Source organism: Homo sapiens, chromosome 5, assembly GCF_000001405.40.
Source record: "Homo sapiens chromosome 5, GRCh38.p14 Primary Assembly".
Classification (NCBI taxonomy): Eukaryota; Metazoa; Chordata; class Mammalia; order Primates; family Hominidae; genus Homo; species Homo sapiens.
The window spans coordinates 140,233,206-140,256,839 of NC_000005.10; the positions used below are offsets into that span (position 1 = coordinate 140,233,206).

The window sequence follows — 23,634 nt, forward strand, 5'->3', positions numbered from 1 at the left end:
TTTTGCAGTGCATTTGGCCACAGGAGATTTGGGATGGTAGGTTTTGCCCTGGAATGTCATTCCAGGATACTGCCTTGCGAGCACAATCATCAGTGTGTTAACTGCTGGTGTATTCTATGAGGATCTGTGGATACTTTATTGCTGAGAAGTATTCCATTGTATTAGAGGTACCCCAGTTATTCATTCACCTGTTGAAGGACCATTTGGGTTGTTTCTACCTCTGAGTGATTATGAATCCATCTGCTATAAACATTGACGTTCAGGTTTTTGTGTGAACCTAAGTTTTCATTTCTCTAAGCTGAATACCCAGGAGTGGAATTTCTGGATCATATGGTAGGCTTAAGAAACTGCTACTCTTTTCCAAAGTGGCTTTGGCATCGTGCGTTCCTATCAGTAATGAATGAGAGTTCCGGTGGCTCTGCATCTTTGCCAGTACTTGATATTGTCAGCAATTTTTATTTTAGCCATTCTGATTGTATGTAGTGGCATCTCATTGTGGTTTTAATTTGTGTTTTCCTAATAGTTAGTGATGAAGTCATGTGCATATTTGCTCTCCGTATATCCTCTTTGGTGAAGTGTTTTTTCAAGTCTTTTATCCACTTTCAAATTGGGTTGTTTTCTTACTGTGGACTTTTGAGAGTTGTTATATATTTTAGATACAAGTCCTCTGTTGGCTGTGATTTGCACATATTTTCTCTGCGTCTGTAGCCTATCTTTTCATCCCCTTAACCGTGTCTTCCATGGAGCAAAAGTTTTCATTGTGATTAAGTCCAGTTTATCAATTTTTTATTTTATCACGTTTTTGGTGTCAGTCTAAGGACTCTTTGTCTAACCCCAGGTCATGAAGATGCTTTTCCATGTTTTCTTTAAAATATTTTACAGTTTTATGTTTTTCATTGAGATCTATAATCCACTTGGGGTTAGTTTTTGTATAAAATGTGAGGTTTAAAATAGCTGAGGGGTTTTGTGAGGTGTTCTGCATGCCATACCAATATTTTTCAAAATGCTTTCTCCAATGAATTGCCTTTGCTTATGTGTCAAACCAGTTAGCCATGTTCATGTGGGTCTATTATTGTCTTCTTCATTCCATTCCTTTGATCTATGTGTCTGTTTGCCAATACCATTAACCGGTTATCTTGACTACTGTAGCTTTATGTTAAATCTTCATTTTAGTCATTTTAGTTCTCTTTCCTTTCCATAAATTTTAGAATTTGTTTATCTTTATCTATTAAAAACTCCTGTTGGGATTTTTATTGAAATTGCATTAAATCTATAGATCATCATGGGGCCTAATGGGTATTTAAGTGGGATTGGTTGCTCACCCTTACATGCCATAACCTTTAATGATGGCAGGCAGCCTGCCCATTCATTTGCTGGGTTGTAATTATTCCACAGTTAAAGCCCCTAGTGTATGATTACATTGGTGTCTTTGGAAGTTGGCAGTAAATGAGGTATACTATTCATTAAATTGGGTAGGAACAGCCATTACAAGATGGCCAGTATGTTGAGGGACTTGTGGGCCGGGTTATGCTCTGAGTCAGGTCAGCCACCATCATTCACAACCGTGGTCTTCCTGTGCCTCACTTCTGAGCAGGTCATGAGCAAGATCATACACTGTTTGCTGCCATTGGAAAATCCTCCCTCCCTCGAGGTCTTTACACCGTCATCACAGGGTCATAGAACTGTCATGTACTAGGCATGATTAGGTTTTTTCTCTAGATTTTCCTTAATTTCTTCTGCCTGGTATATCAGCCTCATTCATAATTTTTTTTTTTTTTTTTGAGATGGAGTCTCACCCTTGCCCAGGCAGGAGTTCAGTGGCGCGATCTCGGCTTACTGCAACCTCCACCTCCAGGGTTCAAGCGATTCTCCTGCCTCAGCCTCCTAAGTAGCTGGGATTACAGGCGCCCGCCACCACGCCTGGCTAATTTTTATACTTTTTAGTAGAGATGGGGTTTCGCCATGTTGGCCAGGCTGGTCTTGAACTCCTGACCTCAGGTTATCTGTCTGCCTCAGCCTCCCAAAGTGCTGGGATTACAGGTTTGAGCCACCAAGCCCAGCCAGCCTCATTCATAATTATTCCTCCAAAAGCTGCATTAGGGATATGTTCATGATATATGTCATGATATAATGAACTGCTTCCTCCTCCTACTGTAGTAATGTCACCCATGACATTGGGTCTTCAGCACCAGAAAAACTTTCCTTTTTTTTTTTTTTTGAGATGGAGTCTCGCTCTGTCGCCCAGGCTGGAGTGCAGTGGTGCGATCTTGGCTCACTGCAAGCTCTGCCTCCTGGATTCACGCCATTCTCCTGCCTCAGCCTCCTGAGTAGCTGGGACTACAGGCGCCCGCCACCATGTCTGGCTAATTTTTTGTATTTTCAGTAGAGACGAGGCTTCACGGTGTTAGCCAGGATGGTCTCGATCTTCTGACCTCATGATCCGCCCACCTCAGCCTCCCAAAGTGCTGGGATTACAGGCGTGAGCCACCGCACCCAGCCCAGAAAAACATTTTGTCCTCTTCTCAAGTGTATTTTGGGGCTTCTCATACTTGTCAGCCCCTTCCTACGCTTTGATCTTGACAGTGACATCTTCCCCAGCTCACACCGTGGTCCTTTGGTCTATCTGAGGCAGTGGCATTACAAGACTCTAGCAGAAGAGTGGGTGCTGAGGAACTGCTTATGCACTCATCCTGTCCCGAGTACTCTTCCCCATTACTGCCCTTCAGTCCCCCACCAAATCTGGCTGGTGTCAAGATCAAAGTAAAACTGCTGTCTACTCTAAGCCAAATACAAAACAGTTTGTTTCTAAGGCTTGTCTTCCCCTCAGGGTGTGGAAGATTGCTTGCTAAAGTCTTGTGTAACAGAAAAGAGGACATTGCCCCCATAAACTATTTGAGATTCCCTTTTTTATTTCCGTCTCTCACCACTATGAGAAGCTCTTGGTTTTCTCCTCAGGTTTACAAAAATAAAGTGAATTATTTAAGTCTGACTTAAATTATTATCTGTACGTCTTTCATCTTTTATAAACTCATCTGGATAGAACCCATCCTGTCCACAACAAGCTATTGAGCCCCACAGTTACCTTGTGGCATTTCTGTGGATGTGCGCGTCCCTGCAGTCTTGTGGCTTGGATTGCTCACTGTATGATGTTTTGCAAGACCAAGCTTTGTACATGCACCTGGACCAGCAAACAGGAATGTACACGCTGCACCAGCACGGCAGGCACCTCGGTTCTTTAGCAGTGCTGTAAACATAGACAATGGCCTAGAAAATTATGAAAAATAGCATTTGAAATGTACTATATGATCTCACTATTTAAGAAACGCCACGATGAAACTTTCCTCTCTGTAAATTGAGAGCTTGTATTTTTGACCTGTCTTAAATGATATTAACTTTGTTCTCATTACAACATTTTCCTGTGTTATCTAAGGCAGTAGCTGTACAACTCTGTCTTCCTTCCCATCCTGTAGGAGAGGAAGCAGAGGCTCAGAGAGGTCAAGTGTCTTACTTGAAATCATCCAGCTCTGGAAGAACAGAGCCAGGACCTCGGCTCAGGTCTGCCCAACTCCCAAGTTGGTGGCAGGGACATGGGGAAAGTGGGCCCTGGTTTTAACCTCTTCTTTTGTTGGTCATAGTTTTTTAAAAGCTCTCATTTTCTCTATTTTATTTAAATGGGGTGATAACCTTCTTGTAGAGTAACATGGTCTTTACTGGAAAATGCCAAGCACTTCTGGATCTCCAGCCACTTGCCCAGGAATTGTCAGCATCCAGCACTGGAGCTGAGTTACACACGAGGGAGGATGACATGCACCCAGGAGTTCCCTCACACATGCCTTGCTCAGGCTCCTCAGCAGCCACTCCTTCTCCCGCACCCTCATGTGGAAAGTGGAAGTGTGGCGGGTGGTGGCTGAGGGGCATTCACTCGGATGTTGTGACTGTGGACAGAGTTCACTCCATATCTCAATTGACTGTTGGACCAGGTCATTCTGAGGCGATGGGCCCTGACTCTCCTTGGGACACTCTGAACAAGGAGAAACCTAGATCTGGACCTAACACACAGATCTTGGATTTAGAAGGAGAACTGGGGCACAGAGAATAGGGAGGCCTTTCATTCCCTTGATGCATAGCCACATTTCAGGTCACATGCAGCCAAGATGCTGTCTGATTTGAGGCGAGCCTGATCTTGTGCAGTGAGCACTGGGCCAGAAGGCAGGAGGGTGTGGTGACAGGCCAGGACCTGCCTCTAATTCACTATGTGACCTCAGTCAACTTCTTTCCCTTCTTTGAACTCAGCATCCTCTTACCAAAAAAGGACTGGCCAAGGTGGTCCCCAAGGCAGTTCAGACTGTAGTCCTGGCATCTGGGAAGTTCTCAATTGTCTCTATCTACAGTCAACCCTGTCCTGGTAGCCTAGCAGGTCTTGCCCAAGGATGAGACCACAGGCAGTGCTGGTGGTGCAGCCTTGTCAGGCTGGTCCAGCATGTCCATATCTACTAGATAGATTTTGTTGTTTTTCCAAAAATTGTGTTATTGGGTCTACTGTTCACAGGACTGATTGGGGGTGAATGAGATGACTCATTCACCTGGGGTTCCCTGGGCTTCATCAGTTTCTCAGAAGGCTTGGTCTTGGCCCTGGGATAGCTGCTTGGTTTTGTCCAGGGGCAGCCTCCCTCCCAGGATGCCACTTCAGGATGGTGGCAAATGCACTTCTGAAGACCTACAAGCAAGGACCCATCCACAGCTCGGCAAGCCCTCACCCTTTCCAGACCAATCCATGTAAACGCCCGCACCTGTCTGGAGAGCAATGGCAACCTGAATGCTTGTTGGGTTGGGTTGCAGTCAGGTGAGACACAGGTTGGTGGGTGAGTTGGTTGGCCAGCTCCTGGTCTACTTCACCTTGGAGTGGGTATCTTGGGACTAAGCTTCACAGAAAAGCCAGGCCAGAGCTGAAGCTGCAGGAAAAGGAGGCAGGAGGAGTAGGGCAGGAAGAGAGGCTCGGGAGGCCCAGGGAAGGCTCTGAGCTTAGTAGGCAAAGGCAGCTGCTGTTGTGGAGCCTGGGCCAAGGCTGTGCTGATTCTGTCAGCTCCATATCCATCTCCCTGTATAAGAAGGGGAAAATGGAAGAGGTTCCTACCTTCTCCTATCTTACCCTTCAAACAGTCTGATGAAAACTACAGACCCTTGATTGCCTCTGCCCAGATATTCCCTGGAAGGACAGAAGCTGGGCTGGTCCCTCTGCTGTTCCTGGTCATCCTTCGCCCTATCACTCTCCCACTCAGCACACGGACCTGGTACTTACTCACTGGCCTTGAACAGAGGCACAGTGGCATTGCCTTTAGGACATTTTGTTCTCATCAGTGTAGCCCCTTTGCGCTGGGTAGTAAACGATGCCACTGCACTTGCACATCCAAGGAAAGCTGAACTGAAACCATAGCAAGTTGAGTCTTCTCTCTCTCTGCCCCTGCAGGAGCCGTCTCATGGCTGTCTTGACGTTTTTACTTATTGGGAAAATGCTTAAAGATTTTCCCTTCCCTTCCTACCTCTGCATCTGAGCAGTAAAGGGCTATTGTGGATCCTCTGAAACCTCCCGGAAGGCTGGTTGGCCTCCTTCTGTCGGTCTAGATGCCCAATGCGGGGCAAGGGCAGTTGAGCAGACTACAGGTCCTCCTGCCCCTGGCAAAGCCATCATCTCCCCTGGTGGCACTTTTTGGAAGGTGTGGTGATTGTAGTTGTCTTAGCAGTTGAGGGCCAGCCCTGGGTGCCCATCGCTGGTCTGGGTGATAAGGGGCCACGGTGCTGCTTCCTCACTCCTGGAGCAAGAAGGCTGCAGGCATCAGAACCCTCTGGGAGGCTCTGGTCTTTCTGTTTGCCTTTCCCGCCTAGCTCTCTTGGGTTGGGACTGGTACAGACACTTGCAAAAACAAGAAGGACCTAATAAGGCTCAATTACCACATCAAGGCACTCGATTCATCATTTACAAAGTCCCAGCCATGCAGATGAAGGTTTCAGATGCCAGAATGGGGCTGAGAATTGGAGCCTTCACCTGAGAAGGCCTATACTCACACTTCCTGCAGGTCATCCCTGCCCTGACCTCTATGGAAACTGGAGCCCCACTTGCCCATTGCCTACCCAGAACCAGGTTTCTGAGTAGCCCATGTGAATGTCATCTCTGGGAATGTACAATACAGTAGTCCTAGATCCTGGGACCAAGGGGACTACTGGTTGGTGTGTCTGGTGGCCAAAGTGGCAGTGGGCACTGGTGGCCCTGGAGAAGACCCCAGGGCTTGTTGGACAGGCCTGGCATCGTCCATCTATCTTTTCTGCTTCCAGCTTGAAGGCAAGAAGGTGGGAGGTGCCCCTGCCAGAAACTGCTCAGCTCTTCCCAAAGCTGCTGCGCACCTGAGACCCAGGGCTTCCTGGGCCTTTCTGACCTAGCCTGGGCTCCTGGGCCACATCTGTGTGCTCACGCACCTCTCCCTGCACGTTCCCCACCCCACACTTGTGTTTGCATCCATGTGGCAAAGCTCTGGGTGCCTGCCCCTCTGCAGGCCCCACATCAGACTGGGGCTGAGAATACTGAGGGTTGATTCAAAGGGCTGACTGCGGGCAAGAGAGGCAAGCCAGTGCAGGGTCCCCTGGACCTGACCCCCACTCCACCTGTAGTCCCCTAGGAATAGTCCCTTCTTCTCTGGGGCCGGTTGAATAGGGTGGTCTGAGACACTAGATAGCGAATGAGGGATGAGCCTTTTGGCGCTGATGCTTATGGAAGGAAACCAGTCCTTAAGACCCTGCCCGCGTCAGGAGCTGGAACCCAGCTCCGGTCCCTAGACTGGCCACAGGGGGGCACTTGATCTCCAAGAAGCAGCTCAATCTGAGCAGCCACAGCAGGCACCAGAACCTCTTCCCAGGTTGGGCACTGACTGCTACCAACGTGCCCAGAAAGGTGGTGCCTGTTACCATCCCAGCACCCCCCCACTGCTCTTTTAACCCCTCTCCCTTTTTTCCGTCTTTTTAAAAAGGTTTATATTTTTAAATAGCATTCCAATTACAGAAATTGAGAGAAGAGTTGCCGAGATGGTAGTTTCTGTAAACAGTTTAACATCTTATGTAACCATAGTTCTGCCTGCTTTTTGTCTTCTGCTTGGCTGTAGAGGAGGCAGTTGCCAGGATGGCCCATCTCTGGTTGTGGAACACCTGGGTTGGGGCCACCTCTGCCACAGCTCCTGCTGGGTGACTCGCACTGCCAGCTAAGCCTCAGTGCACAGAGGGCCCCGGGCTTCAAGTACTGAGTGGCCCAGGACCCAGGTAGCATGGGGTGCCAGCCAGGATAGTGCACGAGTTCTCAGGCAGAGTCCCCCATTGGGAAGTGGGGAGTGACGGGGATGGTAGCAGAGCAGAATGCCAGGAATGGTGAGGCCCTGGGGTGGGTGGGGATCCTGGGGCAGAGACTAGGCTGTGCAGCTCAGTGCACCCTCTGGAGATGCAGTACCCTGAACCCTGCACCTAGAAGATGCAGTTGTAAAATTTCTGGGCCCCACCGCAGGTGCTCTGAAGAACTGTGAGGGCTGCCTTGGGGGTTTCTCCTGCGCTAGTCATCCCTGCTTTGGGCGACTGAAGCAAGGAAAACGCAGGTCACTCCCACCTCCAGACCCACGCTACTCCCCATTGCCCATCCTCCCAACAGCCCAGGAGCAGAGATTCTGTCCTCAGCTAAAGGTGAAAAGGTCCTAAGGCTTTTGGGAAACTTGGTGCTCCAGGAAATAAGTGACTCGGGTTTCTAAGTTATGTGTGGGCACTCAACGCCCCTGTCATGGCTGTCACAGCCCTCTGGTTTGAAGTCCTCCATTTTGTAGCTGCTGTTTCTAACCTCTGTCAGCACTGCCTGGGAGTAATGAGTTCAAAGTCCCTAGTTCCCCACGTTTCCAAGTATGTTATGTGAAAGCCCTGGCAAGAACGAACCTGATTAAACTGGAGGAAAAAGGTGGAGCAAGCAAGACTAGGACGTTTTTGTTTCCCCAGTTAAGCTGCCTGAGGTTCAGGGGCTCTGACAGGTGAGAAAGGCATGGCCACCGCCTCAGCCCTGTCTCTGGAGGCTGGGGAGAAGGGGAAGCAGTGAGGAGACTGACTGATGTCCTGATGCCCATGCCCCACACGGCGGTCATGAAGACTGAGTGGCCCCATGTCCAGAAAGCCCTCAGCACAGGGCCTGGCACTTGTGAATACCTCAATAAATGGTAACTTAAGAGAGCCTGTGAGGCCCCTCCCACTGCAGCCAGCCTCCAGCTGAGTCTCTGGCCTGAAGCCCAGGGATGGCCTGCACATGAATCAAGCAGGCTATTTCCAGAGCTGGCAGGGGAGGGGCTTTCTGTCCCAGGGGCAGGCGAGCCAATCCTGTGACAGGGAGAGCACAGGGAAGGGGTTATTCAAGGGGATCTGCATGCCATTGTATTCTGGTTTCCCTGTCCAGAGCTGCCCATGCAGGATCCCGGGGTGGGCAGGCCATCCAGGCAGATGGAAGGGACACTCTGCCTGGGGCTTTCCTGCTGCAGTGACCCCAGGGCCTGGGGTGGCCAGGCTTCAGTGGGTAGGGTAGGCTCTGGCTGGATGTGAGAGATGACTTTGCTGTAGCCCCAGTCACCTCTGTTCTCTTTCTGATCCCTTTTCTATCCCAGTTGGGTATGAGCAAGCCTGGCTTGCCAGAGGCTTTAGAGCCATAAAGGCCTGGGTTCGGATTCTGCCCTTGCCTCTGCCTCGTCACATGTGCTTGAACGAGAGACTTGAGCTCTCTAAGCCTCGAATTCCTTGCCTGTGAAGTGGGAATGATGGTAGTATCTACCTCAGGGTTGCTGTGAAGACGAAATCAGGTACTTGACCTTAGGAGGCCTCAGAATAAATGAGCCATTCATCCTCTCCCTCTGAGCAGGCTTTCCTGGTGAAGGGCATCTAGACCCAGACCTGTGCTGCTGAGTGGAGCCAAATGCAAGTGGACTAGGATTAAACCTGTGCCATAGGAGAAGGAAAAGGAACATGTCCGTGCAGTAGAGGGCAGCTGATACAACGGGAGGACCTGGAAAATCTCCCTACTAACCCACTCAGCGTGCCCTGTAATAGCAATGACACCAGGCTCCAGAGAGAGGCGCTGCCGAGAGAGGTCTAAAAACAGATACAAAACACAAGAAAACTGAAAGAAAACCCCTAAAGGACTGGCTTAATTGATAACATTCATGCATTCATGAACTTTGGAAAAGTGAAATGCTTACTGCTTATGAGTTTGATGACAGTGGTTGTTTTGAGATTTTCAGTGGCCACAGATTGACTAGCAGCCATTTAAAATATGTCCTTATGGGAAGAGAAGCTAATGCCGCAAATCAGCTAACAAGTAGTGGGTAGTTGGGGTCCTTCTTGACCTATGGATTTGTTTAGCACTCAGATCTCTCGATAGAGCACTTGGCCATGACAGGGCTCAGGTTTCCAGCTCCATTTGGAGGAAAAGTGAGCATGCTAGGCTCAGGAAGACACCACACAGGCTCCAGCCGCCCCATCCCACTCAGCCAGGTTTTCATCCCTGCCTTCCTTCATCGTTTATGTCAAGGTATAGAGGTTGGGGGCACATTCTGAAATTGTGTATTGCCCAGGAATGAAAAACCAGGGCTCTTGATTATTCTTTAAGGGTTTAAAGCCCCCCTTTAAAAGGAGATTTTAATTCCCTTTCCTCTGTTATTCTTGGGTGATGGGTCAGCTGTATCCCAAGAAATGACCCCCAGTTCCCCTCCAGGGGGGAAGACATGCTACCTGGTTTACAAACCAAGTAGGGTTGGCCAACTCTGGTTGCCTTGGCATGGGGCCATTCTGCAAGTTCTCTAGTACTTGTCCCTGTGAGGGTGAGGGCGTCCTGAGTCTGGAGTGGCAGGAGGGAGAAAGCAGCTGAGCTGAGCCACCCTCCTTCCATTCAGCAGCAGCAATGGCAGGAACACGGTTTCACCAGTCTGCTCAATAGTTTTCCCCTGGTGTAGCCTTCCTGTGGTCCTGGGAGGCTAACTTTGCAGGGCCTGGGGTTTGCACCAGTCCATTCTCACCCTCTTCCCTCTTCTCCCTCCAGTGTATGTGGTAGAAGACCAAAGAAGAGATGAGCTAGGACCATCCACCTGCCTCACAGCCTGCTGGACGGCTCTCTGTTGCTGCTGTCTCTGGGACATGCTCACCTGACCAGACCAGCCCAGCCGTCCTGTCCTGCCAGCTCTGCTGCCACCTCTGACAGGTGTGCCTGCCCCCATCTCTTCTGATTGCTGTTAACAAATGACTAGCTTTGCACAGACACCTCTACCTTCAGCACTATGGGATTCTAGATTAATGGGGGTTGCTACTGTTTAATTCAGTGACTTGATCTTTTTAATGTCCAAAATCCATTTCTTATTGATCTTTAAAGATGTGCTAAATGACTTTTTTGGCCAAAGGCTTAGTTGTGAAAAATATAATTTTTAAATTATACATTCAAGGTAGTGGCCAAATGTAACACATCAATCATGGAATGATTTCTCTGCTAACAGCCGCCTGTATGTTTCAATAAATTTGTCCAAAGCTCAACTGTCTGTCTAAATGATTCCAGGCCTAAGCTAAGCTACCTGGAGTCTGTGCTTGTCTCCTGGACTGTTACCATGTCTAACTAACTACTCATCTGCTCACTGAGGCTTATAAAATGTGGGTATCTATCTCAGCTAGTGGCCACCATCCAATGTATGACCAGCAGCCAATCTACCTTTTTATTCTGGTGGTGATGCAAACAGTGAGGGTGCTACAAAGGCGGCCAGTTCTGAGGGCCAGGTGTTCTCCAGCTGGGTCATGGGCTCCCGGCCAAGCTACTCTCCCCGTAGTCCCACTCAGAGATAGGCTCAGGGAGGAGCATTTGCCACATCTTGCACCTGCCTTTACCCAGAGCCTAGGAAAGGGCCTTTTGGTAACCAGGGGCTGCCCCTGGAGTGGCTTCCAGGCCTGCTCCCTGGAAACCCAGGAACCTACAATTACATGGGGCCAGCCAAGAGGTTTTCCTTTTTTTTTTTTTTTTTTTTTTTTTTGAGATGATGGAGTTTCACTCTTGTTGCCCAGGCTGGAGGACAATGGCGTGATCTCGGCTCACCACAACCTCCCCCTCCTGGGTTCAAGCAATTCTCCTGCCTCAGCCTCCTGAGTAGCTGGGATTACAGGCATGTACCACCAGGCCGGGCTAATTTTGTATTTTTAGTAGAGACAGGGTTTCTCCATGTTGGTCAGTCTGGTTGCGAACTCCCAACCTCAGTTGATCTGCCCGCCTCGGCCTCCCAAAATGCTGGGATTACAGGCGTGAGCCACCGCTCCTGGCTGAAGTTTTCCCTTCTGGATGTCCCCTCACCCCTCACCCCAGCTCGTCAGCCGTGCCACTCATCTCATATTTGGCCACAGGGTGGCGCCAGGCTGCCATAGCAGCAAGTCCGATTTTCCTCCATCAGCTGGCCCGCCCAGCCCAGCCAGCCCGAGAAGCCGCAGCTGACAGCTAGCTCCCTGCCGACTCTGCCTTCCCTCCGAAGCAGTGGACGTGCTGATAAATGTTTACCGGTGCTCTCTTTAAAAAAAAAAAAAAAGCCATGTTTTGTTGCATGTCCTGTGTCTTATTTCTGATGTCCTGTGTCTTATTTCTGTGGTGTACGTGTTCTCACCATGCCATGGCTGATTTCAAGTTACCAATGTGATGTCACTGACTGGAGCTGGGAAGGGCAGCACAGGACCTGACATCATGTGGGATTTCTACCACCCAGACACAACAGAGCCAACCTCACAGATCACAGTCAGTGCACAGATAGAGCACAGATCGTGGTCAAATGTAGTAATTAGGGATGCATTTTGAATATTTATTGTCCTTGTTTTTAACATAATTTGCAAATTTACATAATTATAATGGCTGTGTTTGACAACTGGCTTGCAACAAAATTCTTGAAAATTGAATAATTGGCCCACCTGGGCTGGGATGAGCCAGCTGGATCACACCGTTGCCCCCTCAGCCTCTAGGAGGCCTCAGGATTATGGCGTCCATCTTATGATATTGGCCAAAAGGAGACAGTCTTGGAGGTGCTGCTTACTGTTGAACTTCCTTTTGGAATGTATGGGAGAAGGCAGGGAAAGGAATCTTTAGGCAGACTGCCATCCAGGGACTGCTATTCTGTTCACTGAGATTCAGCTGTGAACATCTGTTCTTTCTTCCTCTTCTGTCTACTGCATGCAGGCCCGGAAGCTGAGCGTTAGTCAAAGGTACAGGAAGGGAAAAGAGAAGAGGGCAAGGCCCATCCCCCAAGAAAGGAAGGGCTCTGATGCAGAGGGAGCAGGAGCTGAGGTGGAGACGGCCACTGCCTCTCTCACCCTCTGTTCCATCCCTCTGCTCAAGAAAACCAGGCTTAGCAGAGTGGGACAGACGCTTTTTATTGGTCTGGCTGGCGTGCCTAGTGGAAAGCTCAGGCAGAGCTTCCTATCTTGCCCTGGCTCCCATCTTCCCTCTCCTGGGAGTTCATCACACATCCCGAGAGGGAAGAGTGTCCTGGGCAGAGGTGGCAGGCAAAGCCGGGTAAAAACTCCAGGGCTGGGAAGCAAATGGGGCTCAGGGTGATGCAGAAAATGTGATGTTGCCAGGCCATCCAAATAAAGCATCCATCGGGGCAGAGGAGAAGCTGTTTCCCTGCAGACACTCCTCTGCCCCCACCAGGAATGGGAGGGGCAGGAGGAAGAGCTTCCCAGAGAGGCTCCCTACTGGGCCCTTCGTGCCATCAGCATCTCCCGGATGTTGTCCTCAGCTTCCTTAACGCTTCGCTCCAGGTAGGACTTTTTCTGCTGCAATATGAGAGACAGACAAAGGTTAGGACCAGAGTGAATGGGCCGGGCTGGAAGACACAGCTTTGATGTCCAATGGTTATGGCTTTTCCTTTGTGACAGGCAACTTTCAGGAGTATACTGCAAGCCAGGTACACACACCTGCCCACAGTGCTCCCCTCACCTCCGAACCATGGGTGATCACGGGCAGGCAGCAGGGAGAAGATGGCTTTGGTAGAAGCAAAAGTGCTCTGTGGAGGACAGGCAGTAGCACTCTTCCCCCAGAAGGAAGAAGACTCTAAAAAACAGGCGTCTCAGTACATGAAGTTATCCCAGACAGACAAAGGCCAGGAAATTCCAGGACAAAGCTCCTGTCCGTAACAGACTATCTCCTCTCAAGGTTTTCCATGGCCTGGGCCAGGCGTCTGTAGCCACTGCAGCTATAAAATGGATGGTGCACGCTCTGCCCTGTCCAGCAGGAATATGGGCTGCTGTGAGGGCTGTGGGGCTGTCTCGCATCGCACTGAGTGGGTGAGTCAGAAGGCAATCTGCTTTTCTAATGAGACTGCTGCCTGCCAGGAATCTGGGACACTAAAACACTGAGGAAAGCAGACCTTTTGGAGGCTTACCTTCTACTCCATCTGGGTCCTAAATTAAAAATCTCGGCTTAGACAAAGAACTTTCACTACTTTCAGGAGCCAAGATTTCAAAGATTAGTCAAAGGAAATGATGTCTGTACATTATTTGCCCTGTGCTCACCCCAGAAGTATGGTGGTTTTACCAGTGGTCCTTGCCCCGAGGACATAGTTGTGGCTGTATTCCCAGTTAACAGACATGAAATGAAGCCTCCGTTTTAGAGGAATACTATTCATGTCCTGAGGGAATACTCAAAATTATCACCTCCCAGGGCATATGTGACTGAGCCACACTGGAACCAGTAATACAGTCACCAGGCAGCCCAGGCCCTTCTCTCACCTCCACCCCCTTCACCCAAGCACCTGTTGATTCTGTTCCACCCATTAAAGTGCCCACAGGACTCAGGGAAGCAGGGAGAGTTTAGGGCAGAGGACAAGTGAGCTCTCTGTCCAATTAATTAGTTGTTTGTATGTTTTATTTATTTTTGAGACAAGGTCTCAGCTCAGAGTGCAATGGTGCAATCACGGTTCACTGTAGCCTCTACCTCCCACCTCAGCCCAAGTAGCTGGGACTCTAGGTGCACTGGGACTATAGATGTGTACCACCATGCCCGGCTAATTTTTTTTTTTTTTTTGTAGAAATGAGAAACTTCAATTTTTTATTTTTTGTATTGCCCAGGCTGATCTCAAACTCCTGGACCCAAGCGATCCTCCCTCCTCGGTCTCCCAAAGTGCTGGCATTACAGGCGTGAGCCACCGCGCTTAGCTATTTATTAAATGATACATATAGAGGCTTTTTCCTACAGAAGCCAAATGTGGCATACACAAATCTTTATCAGTTCTTCCGTGAACCTCTGATTCCTGTCTGTCCTCTCCTTGCTTCAAATTTCCTTAAGGCTAGAAAGAACCCTCTTTACTCATCTCCCATCTGTCCTAAGTTGCAGAGAATTCCTTGGAACACAACAGGAGCTCCATAAAAACTCATGGCCAGACACAGTGGCTCATGCCTATAATCCCAACACTTTGGGAGGCCAAGGCGGGCAGATCACCTGAGGCCAGGAGTTTAAGACCAGCCTGGCCAACATGGCAAAACCCTGTCTCTACAAAAAAATTAGACAGGTGTGGTGGGGGCACCTGTAATCCCAGCTACTTAGGGGCTGAGGCAGGAGAATCACTTGAACCCAGGAGGCGGAGGCTGCAGTGAGCCAAGGCCATGCCATCGCACTCCAGCCTGGGCAACAAGAGCAAAACTCCAACTCATGGTGACCATGATAACCATTCAATCCAATGCCTGCAAATGCATACTGCTGCTAAGGAATTTTAATTACATTGCTAAACCAAATACAGTCCTATCACTGTGATATCAGAGTGGGAATTTAAACTTCCTTTGATAAACAACTCTTTTTTTTTTTTTTGAGACGGAATCTCGCACTGTTGCCCAGGCTGGAGTGCAATGGCGCCATCTCGGCTCACTGCAACCTCCGCCTCCCGGGTTCACACGATTCTCCCGCCTCAGCCTCCCAAGTAGTTGGGATTACAGGCACACACCACCACGCTGGCTAATTTTTTCTATTTTTAGTAGAGATGGGGTTTCACTGTGTTAGCCAAGCTGGTCTCAAACTCCTGACCTCGTGATCTGCCCGCCTCGGCCTCCCAAAGTGTTGGGATTACAGGGGTGAGCCACCGTGCCAGGCCGATAAACAACTCTTAGACTTTAACTGTGGTGAGCTGAAAAAAGGCAAATACTAGTAAGCCCTGACACACACTAAAGAATGTATGTCCACTGGGTGTCACAAAGAGGGGAGCAATAGCTCGGTGCCATACACCACCTGGGCACCCTGTGGACCCCATGTGAATGCAGGGGAAAGGCGAATGGAATAAGCCCACTTCTCCTCCTACAAAAGTCCGCCAGGGCCCAGGGACTCTGGTCTGTTGCATTCAATCTCTGCCAACTTGCTGCCACAGCTGGCAAAACCATCAACTTGGAACATCAGCAAGAGCTCTTCTGCCCTCCCACCCAGACTCCCCAGCCAAACTCAGGCTATACCTCTCAGCTTTAAAAATTCCTTCTTCTGTAAAATCTCTGCTTTCTAACACTTTGATGAATTTTACCACTGCATATCCTAAAGTCTTCAGGTTTCCAAACAATGATGCAAATTAACATATCTATCTATATTTTTGTTTTGTTTCTAGAAATGGGGTCTTGTTATATTGCCCAGGCTGGCCTCAAACTCCTGGGCTCCAGCAATCCTCTTGCCTTAGAGGCATGTGCCACGATACTGCCTTCATCTTTAAATTTTTAATTAGTTTAAATAAACGTAGTAGACATTTCTTAAAAGAAAAAATTCCAACAGGACAGGACATCCCTAACATAGTGGACCTTTCTAACTGTATTTCAATAATTCCTGTCTCAGTCCCCAAGCATATTTAAGCCCAGAAGACTCTCATCATAATCAAACCCAGAACAAGGCACCTGTTGTGGGTTGAACTGAATTTGACAAAAAGATATGCTGAAGTTCTAATCTCTGGTAATTTGGAAAGAGGATCTTTGCAGATGTAACTAAGTTAAGATGAGATCATATTATATTAGGGTGGGCCCTGAATCCAATCATTAGTGTCCAAACAAGATGCTGTGAAGACCAATTCGTGGTAGCTTCAAATACAAGTAGAAAACCAAGTAGAAAACCAACACAATACCTGAAATGAGGGATGCCCCCAGACACCAATTCTACCACAATTATTTGGGGATAAGTATGATCCTAGCTTATAAAGTTTTAAGGGCAGTTACCCAGGCCTCTGCAATTCAGTATGGTCAGAGGCGTGGCAGGATTGGTCCTGTGAGTGCAGAAGAACCTTGGGAGGCCTCTGTCTCCACGGGTGTCTTAGTCTGTTTGTGTTGCTCTAAAGGAATACCTGAGGCTGGGTAATTTATGAAGAAAAGAGGTTTGTTTGGCCCACAGGTCTGCAGGCTATACAAGCATGGTGCAGCATCTGCTTCTGGAGAGGGTTTCTGGCTGCTTGCATTCGTGGTGGAAGGCGAAGGGGAGCCACCTGTACAGAAATCATGTGGCCAGAGAGGAAATGAGAGAGGAGGTGCCAGGCTCTTTTCAACAGCCAGTCAGTGAAGAAACAAAGCATGAGAACTCACTCCCATGAGAATGGTACCAAGCCATACACAAGAAACCCGCCCCCATAATCCAAACATCTCCCACCAGGCCCCACCTTCAACACTGGGGATCAAATTTTTTTGCGGGGGTTGGGGGGGTCTGGGGGTACCAAATTTCAACATGAGACCTGCCAGGGGGCAAAGAAACCCTATGCACACCACAGCAGGGGCATCCTTCATTTCCAGTGCGGTGCTGTGCTCTTGGGTAAGGGCACTAACCCCATTTAAAGGGCTCTGCCCTCATGACCTACTCATCTCCCAAATGGCCACACCTCCTAACACCATCATCTCAGGAGTTAGGATTTCAACAAAGACTTTAGGGAGAAACAACTATTCACACCACAGTACTTTTCAACTTCCAAGAAGCCATGCATGCATGGTCTTGGTTTCAGCTAAATCTCCGACCTCACCTCCAACAACTCTTCCCCGTCACTCCTTCAGCTCCAGTCACACAGGCCTCCCATGCTGCTCCTCCAATCCACCAGGTATGTTCCTGCCTGGCCTTTGCCCTTCGCTGTGCTCTCCATGTAGAAGTTCTCTTCCCCAGATATTCACATTACTCATCCCCTCACTTCCTTCAGGGCTTTCTCAAATGTTACCTTATCTGCGAGGCCTTCTTGAGTACATGCTGCCCAATACTCCCTATTCTCCTCACCTTGACTCTTCTCCAGAGCTCTTTCCACCACAGGAAGGAGAAACTGTCTGGCTTCCCTTATGAGACGGAAAGGTCCACAAGGGCAGGACTTTGTTCTGTCACCTGATACGGTCCTACCGTCTAGAAGAATGGCTGGCACATAATAGGAATTTAATGTTTGTTGAATAAAGTGCTTTAGTGTGGGAAATGACGCCTTACTGATGTACACACACTTTTTAGTTTTCCCTCCCAACTTGAATAATCAAGGAACGCCCAACAGAAGAAGCAAAGGCAGAAAATGACCATTTTCCTTCAAGGTGGTTTTCAGCTTTCGGCATTGCCCTCTCACCCCCTGCCCCTGGATATACACAGATTTAAAACTCCAACCTATCACTACAAACAATGTCAAGTATTTGAGGTAATGAATATGTTAACTAGCTTGATTTAATTATTCTACATTATATTCTTTTTATTTTTTTTTGAAACAGGGTCTTGCTCTGTTGCCTAAGGTAGAGTGCAATGGCATGATCTAGGCTCACTGCAAACTCTGCCTCCCAGGTTTAAGCAATTCTCCCATCTCAGCCTCCCGAGTAGCTGAGGATTACAGGTGAGTACCACCACACCCAGCTAATTTTTCTATCTTTAGTAGAGACGGGGTTTCACCATGTTGGCCAGGCTGGTCTCGAACTCCTGGCCTCAAATGATCCACCTGCCTCAGCCTCCCAAAGTGCTGGGATTACAGATGTGAACTACTGCACCCAGCCCACATTATATTTATAAATCATAATACTTTTACCCCATAAATCTATACAATTATGAATTACTGATTTATAATAAAATAAATAAATAATAAAACTCAAACGTTACAGATCCCAGTGGGGGCTTTGGATCTGGCCTTGCTTCCACAAACAGAACACGCCCTAACAGGCCTTAATGCTTTATCAGGTCAACTTGCAAAACTAAAAAACAAACCACCCCAATTTCCCATGTCCTGGACTCTGAAATCCTTGAGGAACTGCTCTATCCGATGTCAGCCTCAGGGCTGCTAGGAGTGACATTTGAAATCCACACTTACTACCAGCAGTCCTGGGAGGGCATCTGCTGATCTCACTGTAGCATCTTTCTGTCTTGCCGAGCAATTTCCCTCAGAATGCTTTCACAAGGGAAGTCTCTAGTGGCATCAAACCACAAAGCTCTGGGTGCAGCGACATTCTTGTGGGCCCTTGCCGTGATGACAAACTCTGAGATTTCCTGTGGGGCTCAGCATGGCCAGGGAAATGACATTGTTGGAGTTATTGCTCATCGGCCTGAGGTTCTTTTTTCCAGGAGTCAGACTGAGGGGCTGGTGTTTCATTCTCATCCTCTTACCAAGGAAAGAGGCTCCAGTCCCTAGAACTTTTCTGACATGACACAATCTCTCAAATAGACTCCTGAGGTAATACATCTTGTGACGCTATCACTACAGACTTTTTTCTTTTCTTAGGAACTTTGTCTCCAGCTCTCCTTCTCTAAATTAGTTTTTTTTTTCTTTCTTTCTTTCTTTCCTGTTTATCCTGCCTTGGGGTATTGAAAAGAGTTTTCTCCTCTCTGTCCCTCTATTTTCCCATTTGTAAGATGAGGATTTGGGCAATACCAGTGCATCCCTCCACCCCCACCCCACTCCCATTTCTACTTTAGCCACACGACACTTTCTTCACATGAACTCTTGCCTTAAAGACTAAACAAACAAAACAGGTTAAATGGAGCTCAGAGGAGAGGGGAGACATACTATGGATGTATACGGATATGTACTTTTATCTGAATAAAAATAGCCCTGCTGGCTCATCTCCTGCCCTCCAATCCAGGCATCGGAGGCAACACACAAGGCAGACTTAGGTTCCCTTCTGTTCCTGATATTCTGTGAGAGCTAAGTCCTCAGAGACCCTCTGCTGGGAGTCACGGTTTCTGACCCTGAGTGTGACCTGCCTTGGTCACATACTTCTCTCTTGTGTAAAATCCACAGCTTCCAGCTCCTGGACACCACCACCAACTTCAAGCTCTACTATTAATCAAAAAAACTGAAGGCAATGGCCATCTTTTCGCTGTCTCTACCATGACTTCCAAATTAAAAACCCAAAGCCTCACTAATTCTCGTGTTCGCTCACTGGCAGATCTGTAAAATGGTCAGAGGGTACCAACTGCCCACAATGGGGATGTTTGGCAAGAGGCCAAGAACTCACTGAGGGCTGAAGAAGCATGTTTTGATGGGGGACAAGGTTGGTAGAAGGCAGGGGAAACAAGACAAAAACAGAAAAAAAGGCAACAAGAGGACACAATCAGAGAAGGCAGGATGGAAAATGGGACAGCATGGCCACGGCTGCAGCAGGCAGGGGCAGGGCAGAGCCCTGAGGGCACATGTGCCCTGAGCCGCCAGCCTGGATGGGTGAGGAGGGCCAACAGAGGCAGGCAAAACCCCACACCTGAGAGACAGGTCTAAGCGGTCCACGGATATGCCCACTTGTAAACTCATCTGGGTGCATCCACTTCACCAGAGGACACAGCTAGGCGATATGGTAACCACTGAGCTACACCGCTGGGAGACAAATCAAAGAAAGATAAAGCAATCTTAGGCATGGAGCAGGAGAATAAAGAGAAATCTCGGAAGGAGTTACTGTCCCTGCATCTTCTAGATACTACTTTAGAAATATCCTTCAGAAAAGAAAGACAGAAAAGACCCTTCAGAGGTCTTTCTGCTGAAGGACAGGGACAAAAGACTTGCTTCAGCTAAGCGCTGACCTGTTTTCCTCCCAGGTGTGCTTTTACCTGCCGACAGACTGACACTGCTACCATATGGGGTCAGACTCCCAAACCCCACCTATGATCACATGCTGGCTAGCACCCCCAATTCAGTCTGCCAAGACGAACCCGAACCCCTACACCACTCAAGCACTTTACAGCAGATATACACGAGGGGAAAAAATTCTTCTTCAAACAACAGTGTTTAGCTGCTCGGTCCCCCTGAGGTTTAGGTGAGTTCTACCTACTGCTGCCCTCCCTAACACATCAGCTTCATGTGAGTCCCAGAGAAAGCCCAGCCTACCAGATAACCTGGGAATGACCAGATAGAAAGCTCAGAGTGAAGCACAGAGCCAGGAGCGGCAACTGTCCTAATGCAATATGGTGCTGATCAAGCCTCAGCCAAAGAATCACTACCATCTGCAGGCACCAGGTGTAAAAGGGATGATGACAAGCCAGCAAATCACGTCAAGTGATGGGGTCAAGCGATGGGCAGCTGAAGTCGGTGGGGACTTTTGGTTCAGAGAAGATTAAGGGAAGAAGGAATCTATCACTACCTTAACTATAGAAAGCAATGGCTCTCCAAGTGCAGTCCTCTCCCAGCAGCATCGGGATCACCTGCGAACTTATTAGAAGGGCATATTCTTATGCCTCGACCCAGACCAACTGAACCAGAAACCCTGGGGATGGACTACAGCAATCTGTGTTTTCACAATCCCTCCCGGGTGGCTGTGACCCACACTGAAGTTTGAGACTCAAACTTTTTGTTCTAAATCAGGAGTCAGCAAACTTTTTCTATAAAGGGCCAGATAATAAATATTTCAGGCTTTCACTGTGGGGTTATCTCTGTTACAACTACTCAGCTCTGCCATTGTAGCACAAAAGCAGTCAGACAATGTGTAAACAAATGGGTGTGGTGCAGATGAATGGGCACGGCTATGTTTCGAAAGCACAGAAACAGGCAGTGGGCTGGACGGGGCAGGCGGTGGTTTGCCAGTGTCTGTTCCTTAAAAAGATGGGGCTTTAAAGGGTAGGACTGAGTCCAGCAGTTAGAGATTTTTAACTTTCACTGAAAGCTGCCTAATAAAAGCCTACATTTCCATCTGTCCATCCTTCCATCCACTCATTCAGCTCACTGCCAAACCATTTCCCCTCCTTTATCCTTCATAAACCCTGGTCCTTGAAGTTCATGGCATCATGCTTAGCCACCGGACTCCCCCCTCCTTGTTGCTTCAATCTTCCAGTATCCTGGGCACTATCCGTCATCATCAGTGGCTCCCTGTCTCCCTCTCCACCACAGCTGTACCATTCAAGGTGACTTCAACAAGAATGTAGATGACCCACCCAATACCACAGCCTCCTCTCTCCTCACAATTTTACAGTTATCCCACCTCAGCCACCTGGTCCATGGTCATGCCCTAGGTCTTGTCAACACTAGAAGCTGCACACCTCTGAAGTGTCCATTTCACCACCACTACCTCATATTCTTCCAGGTCACTTCTGATACTCTCGCTCCAGCATTTCTTCAACCTCGTCACGCAACAACTTGTTCATTTTCCATTATGCTTCCATGGGCTTTTCCCTTCCTACCCAGCTTTGCTTATATAGTCCATCATTTATATTTATTCTCCTTATATTTACCCTTTCACCTATGTCCCTCTCTCCCTCTGTTGCACTTACCTGGGAAAATGCCAACCCAGATTAAACTCAACCATCTACCCACTCCATGCCTCACCTGAGTGGCTGAATGTTGCTGGAGGAAAATGCTAAACTGTGCTGAATGGTCTCACTTTAAATTCAGAGCCATGAATCCCAAATGGGCACTATGGAAATTCTATTAAACCTCCTTTATATGTTCATTGTCTGCTCTCCAAAATAACTATTTCATGCTTTGTCTTGTCTCCTCAAATCGCCTATTCTCCCTCCTCTCAGCTGAGAAAATAAATCTCATAAGAACTCTATCTTCCCTCTACCAAATCTACTAATCGACCTACACCTGTATGTATAGTCTCTTCTTTCTCTACTGTTAAAATTGATAGCATCCCTGTACTGTGTTTTTAAAGGAATCAAAATACAACCCTGCACTTTGGAAGGCTGAGGTGGGAGGATCACTTGAGGGAAGGAGTTTGAGACCAGCTGGCCCTTGGGCTGTAATTTACAGAACCCTGGCCGAGAATATCACCCACCTATTAGTGAGACCCTATCTCTACAGCGAGACCCCCATCTCTACAAAAATAAAAAAATCAGCTGGGCATGGTGGTGCATGTCTGTAGCCCCAGCTACTCAGAAGGCTAAGGCAGGAGGATCACTTGAGTCCAGGAGGTTGAGACTGCATGCAGTGAGCCGTGATCATGCCACTGCACTCAAGCCTGGGTGACAGAGCAAGGCCCTGTCTCAAAACAAAACAAAAACACACACACAACCCTTCCACTTAGACAATGATTTCATCCCCACATACCTTCTCAGAAACTTCACTCTTACCATTAACCTTCCTTTCTTCTTAATCTTCTATTTCTTACTCTGCAAGATCCTTCTTGGTGAGGCAAACCATTAAAAAACCCTTTCTTTACCTCTCAGTCCCCTGAAAGTACTGCCTTTTTTCTGCAAAACTTCTTGAATCGGTTTTCTAAGGCAGCTGCCTCCCCTGTCTTCCCTCCTATCTGCTCCTCAGACCTCTCCAATCACACTTCTACCTCCTCTAATGAATTGGCTGTGATTCAAGTCCAATGATCTCTATGGGTGCTTCTCTGTCATCTTACTCAACCTCTCAACAGTGTTCAACACAGTTCTTGGAACACTTTCTCCTTCTAGCTTTCATGACACCACACTTCTATTCTCCTCCGACATAACTGGCTACTCTTTCTAAGTTCTCCTTTGCTGACTACCCCTCCTCTGCTCAGCTTCCGAATGCTGCATTTCCCAAGAAGCTGTCCTGGAACTCCTCCTCTTCTCCCCATCTGCACTCCCTCTTAGAAACTCTCATCTCGGCCAGGTGTGGTGGCTCACACCTGTAATCTCAGCACTTTGGGAAGCTGAGGCATGAGAATCGCTTGAACCCAGGAGGCAGATGTTGCAGTGAGCTGAGATCAAGCCACTGTACTCCAGCGTGGGTGACAGAGCAAGCCTCCATCTCAAACAACAACAACAACAACAAAACCAATACTCTCATCTCATAGCTTTAAACATTATATGACTCCTAATTTGTATCTCCAACCCTATATCCCCTTAATTCCAGATTTAACATATCCAATTATTTATAAAACATATCCTCTTTGATGTCAAACCCAGACTTTAATATGTTTAAAACAAACACAACTGATTTATGGTCACCCCCACCCCTACCCCTCCCTGACTTCCCCATCTCAGTGAATGGCACTCATCCAACTGCTCAATGTAAAAAACAAAAAATGACAAAAAAAAAAAAAAAAAAAAAAAAGCTATGTTTTTCAAGAATGACCCTACATGGCACATCCCTGATTTTTTTCTTTTCCTCAATCCCCACACCTTCCATCCAATCCATCGGCAAATCTTATTAGCTTACTTCCAAATATATTCCCAAACTCTACTCTTCTTTCTATCTAGCACCACTGCCC

At 48.1% G+C, this 23,634-nt stretch overlaps 2 protein-coding genes across 2 annotated transcripts in view, besides 3 other annotated features; one reads left to right on the forward strand and one right to left on the reverse strand.

Annotated features, from left to right (window-relative positions):
* Window positions 1-10,584, forward strand: part of CYSTM1 (cysteine rich transmembrane module containing 1) — a 68,602-nt gene extending 58,018 nt beyond the window's left edge. Inside the window, exon 3 of the mRNA NM_032412.4 lies at window positions 10,100-10,584. Within this exon, the coding sequence (NP_115788.1) occupies window positions 10,100-10,206 (107 nt within the window). The 3' untranslated portion in view covers window positions 10,207-10,584. The remainder of the gene's footprint in view (window positions 1-10,099) is intronic.
* Window positions 6,021-6,859: an enhancer, noted in NCBI's record as "H3K4me1 hESC enhancer chr5:139618811-139619649 (GRCh37/hg19 assembly coordinates)". NCBI's record gives its function as "activates a minimal SCP1, AML or CMV promoter by ChIP-STARR-seq in naive H9 embryonic stem cells {active_cell/tissue: H9 hESC(naive)}" and the evidence as "EXISTENCE:reporter gene assay evidence [ECO:0000049][PMID:30033119]".
* Window positions 7,698-8,536: an enhancer, noted in NCBI's record as "H3K27ac-H3K4me1 hESC enhancer chr5:139620488-139621326 (GRCh37/hg19 assembly coordinates)". NCBI's record gives its function as "activates a minimal SCP1, AML or CMV promoter by ChIP-STARR-seq in naive H9 embryonic stem cells {active_cell/tissue: H9 hESC(naive)}" and the evidence as "EXISTENCE:reporter gene assay evidence [ECO:0000049][PMID:30033119]".
* Window positions 8,537-9,373: an enhancer, noted in NCBI's record as "H3K27ac-H3K4me1 hESC enhancer chr5:139621327-139622163 (GRCh37/hg19 assembly coordinates)". NCBI's record gives its function as "activates a minimal SCP1, AML or CMV promoter by ChIP-STARR-seq in primed H9 embryonic stem cells {active_cell/tissue: H9 hESC(primed)}" and the evidence as "EXISTENCE:reporter gene assay evidence [ECO:0000049][PMID:30033119]".
* A 1,245-nt stretch (window positions 10,585-11,829) lies between the features above and the next one.
* PFDN1 (prefoldin subunit 1) overlaps window positions 11,830-23,634 on the reverse strand; it is a 58,067-nt gene continuing 46,262 nt past the window's right edge. Inside the window, exon 4 of the mRNA NM_002622.5 lies at window positions 11,830-12,852. Coding sequence (NP_002613.2) covers window positions 12,769-12,852 — 84 coding nt within the window. The 3' untranslated portion in view covers window positions 11,830-12,768. The remainder of the gene's footprint in view (window positions 12,853-23,634) is intronic.